This window comes from Homo sapiens, chromosome 2 (assembly GCF_000001405.40).
Source record: "Homo sapiens chromosome 2, GRCh38.p14 Primary Assembly".
In the NCBI taxonomy this organism is placed as follows: Eukaryota; Metazoa; Chordata; class Mammalia; order Primates; family Hominidae; genus Homo; species Homo sapiens.
The window spans coordinates 75,403,080-75,418,691 of NC_000002.12; the positions used below are offsets into that span (position 1 = coordinate 75,403,080).

The 15,612-nt window shown below is 36.9% G+C and overlaps 3 annotated features.

The window, feature by feature from the left end:
• Positions 917 to 976: an enhancer, noted in NCBI's record as "active region_16086". NCBI's record gives its function as "activates an Ori minimal core promoter by ATAC-STARR-seq in GM12878 lymphoblastoid cells {active_cell/tissue: GM12878}" and the evidence as "EXISTENCE:reporter gene assay evidence [ECO:0000049][PMID:35858748]".
• Positions 13,420 to 13,469: an enhancer, noted in NCBI's record as "active region_16087". NCBI's record gives its function as "activates an Ori minimal core promoter by ATAC-STARR-seq in GM12878 lymphoblastoid cells {active_cell/tissue: GM12878}" and the evidence as "EXISTENCE:reporter gene assay evidence [ECO:0000049][PMID:35858748]".
• Positions 13,990 to 14,069: an enhancer, noted in NCBI's record as "active region_16088". NCBI's record gives its function as "activates an Ori minimal core promoter by ATAC-STARR-seq in GM12878 lymphoblastoid cells {active_cell/tissue: GM12878}" and the evidence as "EXISTENCE:reporter gene assay evidence [ECO:0000049][PMID:35858748]".

Consider the following 15,612-nt stretch of genomic DNA (forward strand, 5'->3'; position numbering starts at 1 on the left):
TAAAATGGACACAAAAAAGTGGAACAACATTCATGTTTATGGATTGAATTAATATCGTGAAAATTACCATAGTGCTCAAAGTTAACTACAGATTCAATAAAATCTCCATCAAAATACTAGTGACATTCTTCACAAAATAGAAAGAAAAATTCTAAAATTTGTATGAAACCACCAAAGATCTCGAATAACCAAAGCAATCCTGAGCGGGGGGAGGGGGTGGGGAAAGAACAAACCCGGAGAAATTACACTACCTGACCTCAAAATATCTACAAACCTATAGTAACCAAAGCAGCATTGTACTGGCACAAAGATAGACACATAGGCCAATGAGACAGAATAGAGAACCCAGAAATAATTCCACACACTTAGACCTAACTGATTTCTGACATTGGAGAAAGGAAAATTTCTTCTGTAATCTTTTAAACTTTGTTCATTTATATTTCATTTTGCTTTTTTTGTTTCTGATCCTGCTTTTTTGTCTCTTACTGAGTGTATTAGTTTCCTAGGGCTGCCACAACAAACTACCACAAACTGGGTGGCTTAAAACAACAGAAATTTATTGTCTTACCGTTCTGGAGGCTAGAAGTATAATTTTAACATGTAAGTAAGTTTGGTTCATTCTGAACTGTGTGAGGGAGAATGTGTTCTGTGCCTCTCTTCTAGCTTTTGGTGATTTGCTGATGCTCTTTGGCGTACCTTGGTTGTAGATGCGTCATCCCAACCTCTGCCTTCATGTTTGCATGGTATTCTCTTTGTATGCATGTCTATTCTCTTCATATGGCGTTCTCGTTTTAAGGATACTAGTTATATTGAGTTAGCGAACCACTGTACTCAAGTGTCACCCCATCTTTTTAAAAAAAATTTTTATTTTTTGAGACAGACTTTCCTGTTGTTGCCCAGGCTGGAGTGCAGTGGCATGATCTCGGCTCACTGCGACCTCCGCCTCCGTAGTCATACTTTACACTCCCACAGATAGACCCTACAACATCTACTCGTTGGTCTAAATTAGGTTATGTTGCTTCTTGCTTGCTGAGTGTGCTCCTGACTGTGGAGAATTCCTCCCTCTACTGGTTTATCCTGAGAATTGCAACAATTTCTCTGTATATCACGCCTATCAGGGTCCCAGGCAAAAATTCTTTTAACCCGGTGGAGTAAATTTCCCAAATTCCTCATGACTGTGTGAACACATGAAGATATAATAAAATGGGGTTCGTCACTCTATCTTATACATCACATTACCATACTGCAATGGTTCTGAAACTTTTATTCACGTACTAACATCTCTAAAATAAGACTACATCTTCTAATCAATGGAATCATACAATTGTTATCAGTATTGTGATATAGTTGTTATTATAAATCTAATACAAAATTAAAGTGGACACAAAAAAGTGGAACAACATTCACGTTTATGGATTGAAAGAATTAATATCGTGAAAATTACCATAGTGCTCAAAGTTAACTACAGATTCAATAAAATCTCTATCAAAATACTAGTGACATTCTTCACAAAATAGAAAGAACAATTCTAAAATTTGTGTGAAACCACCAAAGATCTCGAATAACCAAAGCTCCTGTGCATGCAGGAGCTTCCTCATAGCTGTTCATATTGTTACCACTTCAAAAGAATTATGCTCATTGTTGATGCTCTATGCATTAAATTTAATTGACATGTGCAATGTACCCAAATTGAATACACTGATTAATCACTGAAACAAAATGTTATTAAGTACACAGAAAGGTATGAAAATAGTGTCTCAGGGCATAAATTTTATATCAGTAATGCACATACTCATTGTTTTAAGGACAACTGCATTTCCATATTTTCTTACAAAGCAACAACCAAATGCTTTATAGGACCTAAGAAAGAATGGTATGCATGAGTAGGTGACTTTCTATTATGATGTTCTATTGTTAAGATCTATGCAAAACGATTGCCTATCACTGACTAAGCAGTACAACTGGAGGCAGAAGAAATTGCAAAATACTCCAGGATAGATTAAAGAATTTCGAGCCAGAGAGAGGCTATGTGACCCATTCAGGTTGGGTAGAAATATCATTAAGGCATCACATATCAATTTGTTAGAAGCTTCCTGTTGTCACATTTGATGGCAAAATTTTACTGTACTAGACAGCTAAAGAGCATCCATCCATCATAAATCTCCTTCTCTCTGTCTCTTTTTTTTCTCTCTCTCATTTGAGATGTAAGCTCTTTCTCTTTTTTTCCCCCAGTCTAAGGCATACTCTTTATTTTTCTTATCTGGGTCATGGCTCTTTCTCTTGAGCACACATATCTTATAAGCTCTAACTGCCGAACTATCTTTTCTTTCCTGAAAATCTCCCTCTGGGTTCAAATAGCTTTTCTTTGGCTATCTGCCCTTTCCTTAGTTTTCCACATGTTATTGTTAACATATGGTGTAATTATAGGTGATTAATACTAAAATGAGAAGTAATAAACTATAAACAAGCAGAAAAATATTAGAATTTCACTCACCCATTTCCACGTATTGCCAAGGATTTTGGCATCATCTGAAGGCAGAATAAAAACTAGAATGCTTATCTGCATGTAGATTTCCCTTTTGTATTTTCAAACTTTTTAAGTAAGTGTTCCAGAATATCCCTGTCAGTTGCCGTATCTCTTACTGTGTGCTTCTGGCTCTTATGAAGGCTTATATCACACTTCACCTCACGGAAAAGTTAACTATATTGGGGGATCTGCAGGAGGAGATAATCATCTTGGCCCCAGAAAAGCTGGAATGAGTCTCTGAGATTTTATGTCAATGTAAATCCAGGCCAAAATGAAATACTTTGAGATGAACTTAAAATCTTTCATTGACCTTTATGTGGAGGCTCTTATCTTTATCATAATACATTTTCTATATTAATATAATCTAGCTTTTTGGGGTCTTTTCTGACTTCTCTAGGATTCTAAAGGCATTCTACATACTACAGGAGAGTTCTGAGTGTTTTCAAGGTTACTAAAGTTTCCCACCGCTCACTAGAATTCTATTTTCTGAGTATTTTTTACCCATTTCCATCCATGCGAAGTTTCTCTTCTGAGCCTGGCATTATTTTCTTTTATTCCACTCAAGTCTTCACAAAACACATCTGCCTTTTGACTCTTGCTATCTGGGCTGTCAGCCGAAACCCACAATAGTGTGGAGCCTGTGAAAGATGGCTCAGCCTTTTGTGTTGTATGCATCCATTCAAAAGGACTCTATAGGCAGAGTTAAGCAGACATACAAAATCTCCCTGCTTCTCACCCATTAATTTCAGTCACTTTCATAGTACAGAGAAAACCCTTTCATATTTTAGAAGTTGAATTTGCATAAATGTGCATAACACTGATGTTGCTGCCCTTTCCCTTCAACTATTTTCTGTTCCAGTAATTCATCACCACCTGCCCTTGCATCCTGAAGATTTATGTTTTGAAAATCACATGAGAGTAGTTATATGGCTCATTATTCTCAGGGAAACATGCTTTCAGTGTATGATGGCTCTTTGCTCCTTATCTCTGGGCGCAGAAAAATCTTGCCTATTTGTAGGGCTCTGTGCCATGCTCCGTCTCCTTCTGCACATCGTTGTCTATTTTTCTTTCTTTTATTAAATTAATAAACAAAAATTTATAACCACATTTAAATGCACATAAGAGAGAGCTCTCTGTAGATGAACATTCTACATATGTGTAACAAAAAAGAAATAGAAAGTAAATGAGAATGTTTCTGAAGTTTATTTTCCCATGAAGCATAGACTAGGTAAAAAATTTATGTCTTACTGAACTTTCTAAAATTACCTAAACTTCTTATTTATCAAAGCACACTATCTCAGCTACTGAATTGCATCCCAAAATAAACTAATGACATGAAATTGTTAAGTCTTCCCGACCCTAATGGAAGGTGCCAGTTGACAAGACATATTGTGATGACTATAGCACCAATAAAATAAGTTCAACAAAATACAGCTAACTATAAAAACACGTGAGAGGTTTAATTTTTTAAGTTTTAAAATATTTGTTATTCTCAATATATACATCTATAGCATAGCAAAGAGACAAAATAGGATAAAATGAGAAAAAATATCAACCCAGTAAAACACTCAGCAAAATAACTATACTAAAAACAAACAACGCACAATGGGAATTGGGGCTGTCATATCCCATAAAGTAGTTCCAAGGCTCAATAAATGTCAAAGTGAAAAATCTGTCATTGAGGAGATTAGACGAGAGCAGGAAGAGGTAGATTGGTCTCATAGAAAGAAATAGAAACACTTTTTAAAGAACTAAGGACTAAAACCTTACACCAGAGCAACAATAAATTTACTCCAATGGCATAAATGGGTTTTTACAAGGTAAGGTATGACTCATAGCAAAAATGTTGCTTTCATGATGGCATTTTTTAATAAAAAGAGAGAAAAAGAAAAAATAAATTAAGGATTTTCTCAATAGTTTGGCAATCATTGGCTCTCCATTCAATTTTGAGAGTAAAGTATTACAAAGCTGATTGGGTGTTTTCTGTGCATGAGAGAGGCTTGTTGATGTGTGAGTTTCAGAAAAGAGGGGTGGGGATTGGGCTGTTTCTTTGGAAGACACCCTAAATATTAATATGCTTAAGTCTTATTACACTAGTCAGTTTCATAGAGAGGAACCTTCCAATATCTTGCCTGTCATGGAGAGAGGCTATGGCAGCAGAGGTAGAAGCTTGGATTTCAGATTTCTGGGAGCCAAAAGGGGCCTCATCACTTAGTATTCTGACTTCGTTTAGCTCTTGTGTTTTTGGCATGGCACTCCAACTCTTAGCTAAACCTGAGACTTCGATTTCTGCAAAGAGTTATAACTTCTCTAGTTTTTTTATCCCAGTGTGGGAGGAATGGTCTTGTGAGTGTACTGTGAGGATGGGGGTGGCTGTTTGTTTTACTGACTTTTGGCAAATTCTTCTATTTCCAGTGCTGACTTGTACCCATAACTTTAGTCTTCTTCAATAAACTCCCCTTGATTTTTTTTTTTTTTTTTGCTTCCCTGTGTCATCCCTAAAAACCAATACTTCTTCCCCTCGCACTACCACCAATACCAGGTATTTGAGTTTCGGTTTTCTTTAATCTCTTCAGTAATTTAAGACTCATCTATTCTCAATTCATCTTCTAAATATTATAGACCTTTACAATCTACTGTGACTGACTTCGTTTCTTCTTTTTTAAAAACATTGAGTTGTACTTTTTCATTCCTTTGTTGTCAGTTTTATAGGAGTTGGGAAGGGAGTAGAAGTAAACATATTTAACAAGAAGTTCCTAACAGTTTAATAAGACACAGATGTATGTTTTATGAAGACATTTGCAAAGGGGGTTCTCATGATAAATGAGGTTCACATCTTAGGAAGTAGGTGACAGGTCTCACTCACAACAGTAACAGTGAATTTTATTCATAGGATGGTTCAACAAAGCTATGGTAATTCATAAGAACTCACAGATGAAACTCCATAACAACCTACAGTATGCGTAAGTTTGTGGGGTTGTCACTTGATGCTGAGACATACGAGGGGCATGACAGGTATGGACCTTGCCATAGGCTTGACGCTCCTTGTATACAAACTTTATGGAACTCTAATTTCACCTCTTTCCCCAACTATTCCCTCTTTGAGCTTTAGTTTGAGCTTTATAGAACCCTAATTGCACCTCTTTCCCCAACTGTACACCTCTTTCCCCTGATTGTGGCCTCTTTGAGCTTTAGTTCATTATTTGTAAAATAAAGATAATTTTACCTACTTCATGGTGTAGATATAAGGATTTAGTGAGATAATGCATGCAAAAATATTTAGCTCACTGGAGCTCAGTCAATGATAAAGTTAAATATCCAGAAGTTCCTGGATTAAAGTCAAGACCTGGAATACATCAGTTAGCTTGTTTCTGCTTCTATATCACATTTTTTTGGGACAGTTTATTCCATCTGTAAGCAGCTCTGATGACTGGAAATCTCATCTTTATGTCAAGCTTATTTTATTATCTCATTCATCCTTTAAATGGCTAAGGTCAGCAGTGGACAGGATGGAGCCCAGCCCTGCCATTATGGAACATACAGTCAATGTTATGACTTTTTATTTTTCTCCTGAATCTTTCTATCTGATCATTTTCCTCTTGTCTTAAGAATATGTTTTAGAATTTTCTTTAGCATGGGTCTGCTAATAGTGAAATCTATTTTTATTTGCCTGGAAATGTTCCAAATTGTCTTGATTTTTTAAGAATTTTTTGAGAATAAGAATATTATAAGAATATTTTTACTGCCTGGATTGGCAGTTCTTTTCTTCCGGCAAGTTGAAAATATCACATAACTGTTTTATGTCCTCGTTGCTGTTGTTGAAAAGTCAATTGTTAGTCTAAACCTTGCTCTTTTGGGAAACTCTGTCCTTTTTTCTCTGACTACTTTTGAGGTGTTCGCTTTACCTTTAGGTTTTCTTTAACTCCACTATGTTCAGTTGCAAATTTCTTTTTATTTATTTTTCTAGCACCAGAGGCACATCTCTGGTCTCAGGCACCAGGCTGCCACATACAGACACAGACTCCAGGCCTGGCTGACTCCAGCCTGATTCCAGGCTGGTCCCTGCAGCTGCATCCTCCATATTGGCCCTTATTGCCTCATGTTCCAGCAGACCCAGGGTCCAGATCCATACCTGAAGACCCAGAACACAGACCTATCTTCATTTGCTCAGGCTCCAGATCTTCCCCAGTCCCAAGCTAGCGCCTATGGACTCAGGCTCTAGGCCCATCCCAGTGGACTCAGGCTCCAGGCCTGTCCCAGTGAACACAGCTATCAGGCCCATCCTAGTACCAGGCTGGCCACTGCAGACTTAGACTCAAGGCCCACCCCAGCACCTGGTAAGCCCCTGTGAACTTAGGTGCCAGGCATCCACCTGCTGACCAAACCTCCCCAAAGACTCCAGCAGCAAGCCTCCCCACAGACCACACCAGATAGCCTGCCCCTGCCCAAAATCTCTACATGGGCTGACTGAGGAAAGCTTTCCCAGACAAAACCAATCTGCAAATATTAGAATAAGTCTCTACTTTTTCAAATGTGCAGATATCAGTGTAAGGCAATAAGAAACATGAAAAATCAATGAGATATAACATCACCAAAAGAACACTATAATTTCCAATAGCTGACCCCAAGAAAATGGAGATACAAAAAGTGCCTGATAAGGAATTTAAAATAAGAGAGAAACAATTTAATTAAGTCAGGAAAACAATAAATGACCAAAATTATAAATGTAACAGAGAGATTGAAATTATTTTTAAAAAACAACAAACAAATTATGGAGCTGAAAAACACAATAAATAAAAATTTTTTAAATGTAACAGAGAGCATTAACAACAGAATTGATAAAGCAGAAGAAAAAAATCTGTGAAGTTAAAGACAGGTTATTTGAAAATATACAATCCGAGAAAAAAATAAAAAAGAATGAAAGGGAATGAAGAAATCTTACGGGATTTGTGGGATAGCATCAAAACGGCAAATGTTTGAGATATAGGAGTTTAAGAAGGAGAAGAAAGGGACAAAGAGATAGAAAGTTTACTTAAAGAAATAATAGCAGAAAACTTTCCAAATTGGGGCAAATGTAAATATCCAAGAAGAGGAAAGTCAAAAGCCTCAAATGAAATCCAATCCAAACAGGACTATCCTAAGACATATAACCAAACTGAAAATTCAAAGACAAAGATAGGCTCCTGAAAGCAACAAGAGAATATAAGCAAATCACATGTAAGCAGAGCTTTAATAAGGCTGATAGCAGACTTCAGCAGAAATTTGACAGGCAAGGAAAAAGTAGCTTCACACAGTCAAAGTGCTAAAGGAAAAATATTGCAGACTGAGAATATTGTACCCAACAAATCTGTCCTTCAGGAATGAAGGAGAAATGACTAAGAAGAGCTGAAAGAGTTCATCATCACCAGAAGTCTTATAAGAAATCTTAAAGGGACTCCTCTAAGCTGAAAGAAAGAGGCACCAATTAATAACATGAAAACATATGAAAGTATAAAACTCACTGTCAAAAGTAAGTACATAATCAAATTTAGAAAACTCTAATACTGAAATTATGGTGTGTAAGTCACTTATTTCTTTAGTAGAAAGCTTAAAAACAAAACTATTAATAACAACCACAATAATTTGTTAAGGGATGCACAATATAAAAAAGTATAAATTATAACTTTGAAAACATAAGATGGGGGGAGGTGAAATAAAAAGGTTGAGTTTTTTAAGTACAATCAAAATTAAGTTGTTTCAGTTAAAAATAGCCTGTTATAACTACAAGCCTCAAGGTAACCACAAAGCAAAAATCTATAGTAGATTCACAACAGATAAAAAGTATGGAATCAAAGCATAGAACTAGAGAAAATCATCTAATAAAAAGAAAAACAGCAAGAAAGGAAGAAAGGAAGAAGGATCTATAAAACAATCAGAAAGCAGCAAAATGACAGTAGTAAATCCTTACCTATAAATAATTACTTTTAATCCTACTACTGAGCATATATCCAAAGTACATGAAATCAGTATGTTGAAGAGATATTTGCACTCTCATGTTCACTGCAGCACGATTCACAGTGTCCAAGATATGCAATCAACTTAAGTGTCCATCAACTGATGAATGGATAAAGAAAACGTTGTATATGTACATAATGGAATGCTCTTCAGCCTTAAACAAGAAGGAAATTCTGTCATTTGCAACAACACAGATGAACTCAGAGGTTCTTATGCTAAGTGAAATAAGCCAGGCACAGAAAGATAAATACTGTATGATCTCACTTATATGTAGAATCTAAAAAAGTTAAACTCACAGAAACAGAGAGTAGAATGGTGATTACTAAGAGGTGGGTGGGAAGCAATTTAGGGAGATGTTGGTGAAAGGATCAAAAATTTCAGTTAGATAGAAATAAGCTCAAAGGATCTATTGTACAACATGGTGACTATAGTTAATGACAATGTATTTTATTCTTGAAAATTGCTAAGAATACATTTTGTGTTCTCACCACAAAAAAGTTATGCAATGTAATGCATATATTAATTAGGATGACTTAGCTATTCTACAAACGTATATATTTTAAAACATCATGCTGTCTAAGATAAATATATATAATTTTGTTAATTTAATTTTTTTTATTTTAACAAAGATTGGTCATGATTTGAAGAGCCGTGGTTTCAGGTTGAATCCCAATAATTATTTGAAAGGGAAAGAAACATTATATAGTTTTGTATTAGTTCCTTATTGTTGCTGAATCAAATTACCAGAAATTTACCTGCTTACACCACACAAATTTATTCTTTTATTATCTGAAGGTTAGATCTCTAACATTGGTTTCACTGGGTTAGAATCAAGGTATCAGGCAAAAATGCATTCCCTTCTGTAATCTCTACGGAAGAATCTGTTTCCTTGTTTTTTTCCTGTGTCTAGAGGCTACCTGAAATGCTCAGCCCATAGCCCCTTCCTTCATCTTCAAAGCCAGCAATGGTCTATTGAGACCTTCTCATAACACCTTACTCTGACTTTCCTCTCATCATCACGTCTCCTTCTGTGATTTCTTCTGCCTATCTCCTCCACTTTCAAGGACGCTTATAATTACACAAGGCTTCTCTTGATAATCCAGGATAATCTCTCTATCTTGAAGGCAGCTGAATACCAACCTTAATTCCATTTGCAATGTTAATTAATTCCCCTTTGCTGTATAATGTAATAGATTCTAGAGCTTAGGATGTGAACATCATTGGGAGGCCATTATTCTGTCTATATTGTGTCCCAAGGGTAGATTATTGAAAAAGAGACAGGCAAGGTATCATGGCCCCAGGAAAATGAACTGGGGTGCATGGCAGAGCTCTGGTTCTAGTGAGGAAATAGAATGTAGATTCAGAACTAAAAGTGATACTTATTATGTGTTTTGGGAACTCACAGAGGGAGTTGGGGAGCTGTTTTTGTTGGGTGAGGATAATGACAAAAATTCATGCCCATATTGACATATTTTGTATGCACTTAGGTGCTAATTCCTGCTCAGTCCTGACTCCATTGGCCCTGCCCCAAAGTAGGCAAAGTGAAGTAGCCTGGCAGAAGGATGCTAAAAGGCAAATGGAATTTGGAAACATTTTGTTGTTGTTGTCCACTCTTAAAGGCAAAACTCACGGGTCATACAAAAATATTCCTTAGAAACCTGTGACAATTTGAAAACTGTACTTTCCATCCCATCCTGTACGGGGTGGGGGAAGGAAAAGGAGGGCGTTTTTCTTGCTTTATTCCTAACAGCCATTTCTCCAAGCAGTGAGCTCTATTAGATTTTCCTGTGATTCCCACCAAAATAACTTCTAGTTAATGACCTCAACTATACATGCCACTATACAATGCTTCTTCTCAGAAATACAAAAGTGCTGTCTTCACTTTGCCACCACCAGTAGACACTGATGAATGCTCAAATTGGGCTAGAGTCTTATCTTACTTGCTGGGATGCATTTTCTGAGGATTACTGGTGTGTTAGTCTGTTTTCCCACTGCTTTAAAGAACTGCATGAGACTGGGTAATTTATGAAGGAAAAAGATTTAATTGACTCACAGTTCAGCATGGCTAGGAAGGCCGCAGGAAGCTTACAATCATGGCAGAAGGCGAAGGGGAAGCAAGGCACCTTCTTCACAAGGTAGCAGGAAGGAGAATGAATGCAGGAGGAACTAGTCAATGCTTATAAAACCATCAGACCTCGAGAGAACTCACTCACTATCACAAGAACAGCATGGGAGAAACCATCCCCATGATCCAATTAACTCCACCTGGTCTCTTCCTTGACACATGGGGATTGTGGGGGTTATGAGGATTATAATTCAAGATGAGATTTGGGTGTGGACACAAAGCCTAACCATATCAATTGGCTTCTCCTGTTCAAAGATAAAGACCTACAACTTTTCCAGTTCTCCTTGGCTTATATGCTAGTACATTTGACAGGTTTAATAACTGGCTGAATGGCCATTACCAGACAGACATTTCTACTTGCAGTAAAGCAAGTCCTGTCTTAATAAATCTTTTTTTCCTTTTCTTTGCCAGTGATAAGAAGCTAAAAACAATAACAAACATGTTGAATGTCAAATTATGGCTAGGAAAGGCCTTATCAGGTCAAAATAATCGACTGATCTAACAAGATTAATTTCAATAAAGATTTATGTAAGATTCTTCCCTTGCCCCACCCCTCCAAAAAATCAAACCAACTAATAAAAGTACAAAGGTAGATTAAAATATGGTTTAGCTGTAGCTCATATGAAAAAGAGTCAGGGGCTTTGGTCAGCAGTGAACTCAGTTACACATAGCAGTGCGTAGCAGCTTCCAAGAAAGTTCTGTCAGTTTCAACCTATATTACTAGAACTGTGTCACCTAGCCTTAGGGAGGAAATGATACCCCTCCAGTCTTCGTCAGTTTACAATGCATTGTCTAGCACTTTATTTGGGGCACCTCAATAGAGAAGATTTCGGAGGAGCAAGACCTATAAATACTATTAACTGAGGAATAAGTGCCTATAGAAATTTGAGATGTTTAGCCTAATGATTAAAGATTCAGGAAGCCATGATAACTCTTCAGATCTTAATAGTTGTGCATGGCCCCAAAGATCCAAAACTCATAAGCAGGAATCTCAGAAAGATAAGTTTTTGCCACAACATCTAGTAGTTAGGAATGTCTCAAGCTATTAACTCAGAAGACCGTGAGTGCTTTGACATGAGAGAACTTTACGCAAAGGTCAATGCCTGCTGACAGAGGGTCTAAGCTACAGATGGGAAGTAAACTAGATGACCCTGAATTCACTATAATTCTGCAGACTTTTCAATGAATTTCAGGCAGTCTTAGCCTTAGTTGAAAATCCAAAGTAGGCCAAGCTGGTCATTTGAAGCCCTCTACCTATCCCCAGTATGGTCTTCCTTATGTGCCGTGGCTTAGCACTTGCCTCCCTCAGTTACTCACCGTCTTCTGTATCACTGACCTTCCACAGATATGCTCTAATGAGACCTTCTTATACTAAGAATATAAATGTTTATCTTTTAAGCTTTATCTCTGGACATCTTGGGCTCTGTCTCATATTCTCTAGGCTCCTTTTTCACTCTAGCCCTTGGTATGGCTACCAATGCCTGAGAATGTAGCCTGACAGCACCTCTGTTCAGCTCCACCATAAATCTCTTGATTTCTGCCTCTTAGCACTTCTCCACCACTGCCTCCCTAATACCTGCCGAAACTTGTTCAGCTATTCTGGTCTCCAGGCAAACCTGGAAGTAAGATGGAGTTAATATCCCATGAAGCATTCACCAATGGGGAACAGAATTTGCTTGATAACTATTCTCCCCTTGAAGCCCTTGAGTGAATAACTCTCAGGTGAATTATCATTGGCTCCTCAGATGTTCCCACGTGGATTGAGTTTCAGCTGCCTACAGCAGTAAAAACTTTCAATAACACACCCTTGGATTATTTTTCCTCTCTTCCCTATTCGTTACTTTCATTCTTTGTGATCGTTTTCCAGAATAAACTATCTGTATGCAAGTTGTTGTGTTAGATTTGACATATTGAGGCGACTTAGACTAAAACAATTTACACTTATGAGAGACATTACCCACTTAAGAATTTCAGAAATTAGTGAACAGGTGTAGAAATTTTCACTGCAAATTTAGTTGCTTAACTTACCTGTTTATAAGGCCAATTCAACTACACAGTCAACATTTATGGATACAGTATTAAGAAGAAGTCAGTATTGACCTCTTTCCTTAGCTATGTTCTATCATAGACAATAACCAGATGATATAAATGCAACTATGAGCAATGGAGTACTTTCTCTTGGCAGAATCTAAAAACACACGACACAATCTCCCTTGGAAATAACTTGTAGCACAGGAAGGAAAGTGCATGAAAGAGCCAAGAAATAAAGTTGATTTGAGGTTGAAAAGAAACATCTCTTCAGGGAGCCACATACTCCCAGAATTTTTAAAAGCAAAAACAAACAAACAAAAAAAAAAAACAAAAAAAACAAAACAAACTATTTGCTTTTCTTCAAAACTTCACATCATAAACCCTGAGTAATTTATGCAATTATAATATTCTACATCCATAATGAGATTTTACAGCCCTTCATCCAAGAGAAACAAGCCTTGGAATAATTTTACTCTGAAGTTCCTAAATAACATAAAATTCAATTCACAGAATCACATTATTACTGAGAGAATCGATAATATTTTTCAATAAATGAGTTTAACAAAAATGATTTAATTTAATCTCCAAGTTTATGAGGGTAATGGTTGTTTCCTGCAACTATTATCATACTCGTTTCAGGTTAACTGCATGAATAATATCATCTAAGCTGTTTCTAATGATTGATCTATGTAATAAAAACCAAATTCCTGTATACTCCAATCCTTGGAAGAAATTAAAGATCTTTGCCAGCATTAGTCAAAATCCCACAGTATGTACCATGAAATGCTCAGAGCAGTCAGCTCTGGATTCTCATGAGAACACAGTTTGTACAAAAGCCCAGCTGTCTATAGTAGACAAAGATATGGAGTAGACAAAAGTTTTCATTATAACATTCTTAACTCACCATTCCCTTCCTGCAGGTCTTCTCATCACCCAGTGCTCTCAGGCTCTCTCGGGTTGCTCTGGTCTTTCTATTTAACCTCTTATTGACTCCTCCTGTGCCTTCCTCCTCTTTCCCACCCCCACCTTCTAACAGCACTCACCTGTGCTTCTTACCGTCCCTTATCAAGCGCTGTTGTGTGGGGGGGATAATCTGCTCAAAGGCACCAATTTCCTCCTTCCAACAGACTTGCTAAGGAGAAATTAAGGAGAATGTCCATGATCCCAAAATCAGCATTTCTGAAAAAGACACTGTTCTTTGGCAAAAAACAAAGTGTCAGGATTTCTGTGAAGTCTTCTGTTTAGAACTGTTCTGGCCGAGTCTGTGGTATATCAAGTGTAAAACGCACTTAAATTTTTTGCCAGGTCTACTTCCTGTTTAAGAAGCTGTAAGAGTGCATGAGGCCCCCAGAGAAACTGCAAAGCTGAGGTTATAGATAGGAGAGCTGACATCTTCTATCATTTACTTCCTGACATCATAGCCTCTGGCTGTAGAAGAAAAGTGACTGCAATTTTCAAACATGCACACACACTCTCTCTTCTTTTTCCTTCTGCTAAACATTAACCAAATCAAACACTCTCAGAGCAGAAATAAGAAAGCAAGCTCCAGGTCTCAAATATTGGGAAGACAAACATATTTAACTTATTTGGCTAGAATAACTGTCCCATATTACCAAGAGCAAATAATCATTTCTCCTTCAGACAGATATAAAGTCTTGATATTTTGGGACTGTATTGTGTTTCTGTTTCCTTTAGAAGAAATTTCTGCTTATGGGGATGGTCAGCGGATTGGCAATCTCCAACTCACTTTTATTGTTATAAAAAGGTAGAATTTGAGTTTATATTTTATAATAAATCTTTCAGAAAACCAGTGCTTGTTTTTCATTCATCTTGAAATCAAAAGATACGAGGTACAGAAGAGACTCTCAAACAGGCTTATCACCCCTGTATGTTACAGCTGGAAAGACAGAGATCCAGAAAAATTATGTGACTTTCCTGAGCTCGTGTAGCTAGATGTGGACCCTCAAGAAAACACATTTTGTATAGGTCTCTGTGAATCCGATGGCATCTCTAGGAAAACAGGCTGCCTTTCTTCTTGGTAAGATATCATTGCAGAAGCACTGTGTACATTGTAACGACTGTCCATCCATCAGTGAAAGTCCCTGACGTTTGCATGTTTTCCTCCTTCAACCTAATCTTTAAATCATTTCTATGCCCGTATAATATCTCTTCTTTAGGTATTTTATTGGGACATTGGAAGAGTAAGAATTGGCATTTAGATTTTGGGGTGCCCTCTACGGCCCCATACATTCCTTCCTACGATAAAGATTTGAAGTAACTGCATGTGCTGGGAGCTGCACCAGGACGTAGGGACAGATAACTGATTAAGTCATCACTCTAAGATGCTACTGGCTAGTGGGGATTATCTACCTGTAAGTAAATAATTTTAATTCAATGAGACAAGTACTATAATAAACATATACTTACTGGTGCCATGGGAGTCACAGTTCTCTGCCTAGTGGGACTTCTCCATCTTTCTCAACTTGAGGAGCTGTCATTATTATGATTTAGAACTAAATTCAAAGTACTAAATAAAAGCCAGTCAGATTAACTTGTTATGACATAGGTTTATATTTTTTTTAAGGCTAGAGAACTTCAGATTATAAACCAGATAATCTTTTAAAAAGTCCTTCAAGATACATTAGTAAAACATTTTGGTTTTATGAGTCTGGGGCCTGGGTAGTATTCCTGTCCTATAACTAATATAATATTATAAATTACCAAATTTCTTTCCCTTCTTTTTGTTTAAATTGTCACACATTTACAGGAACAATTGCAGGTCACAGAAAAATATTAAAAATGATTAAAAACTGAAAAATAATAGGACCAAAATAGTGGTGCCAGCTCACTTTCAATAAAATACTAAACAAAGTACAAGCCAATGAAATTCAGGTAAATTTAAATGATCACCATCTCCATCTAGTTTATTTCACTC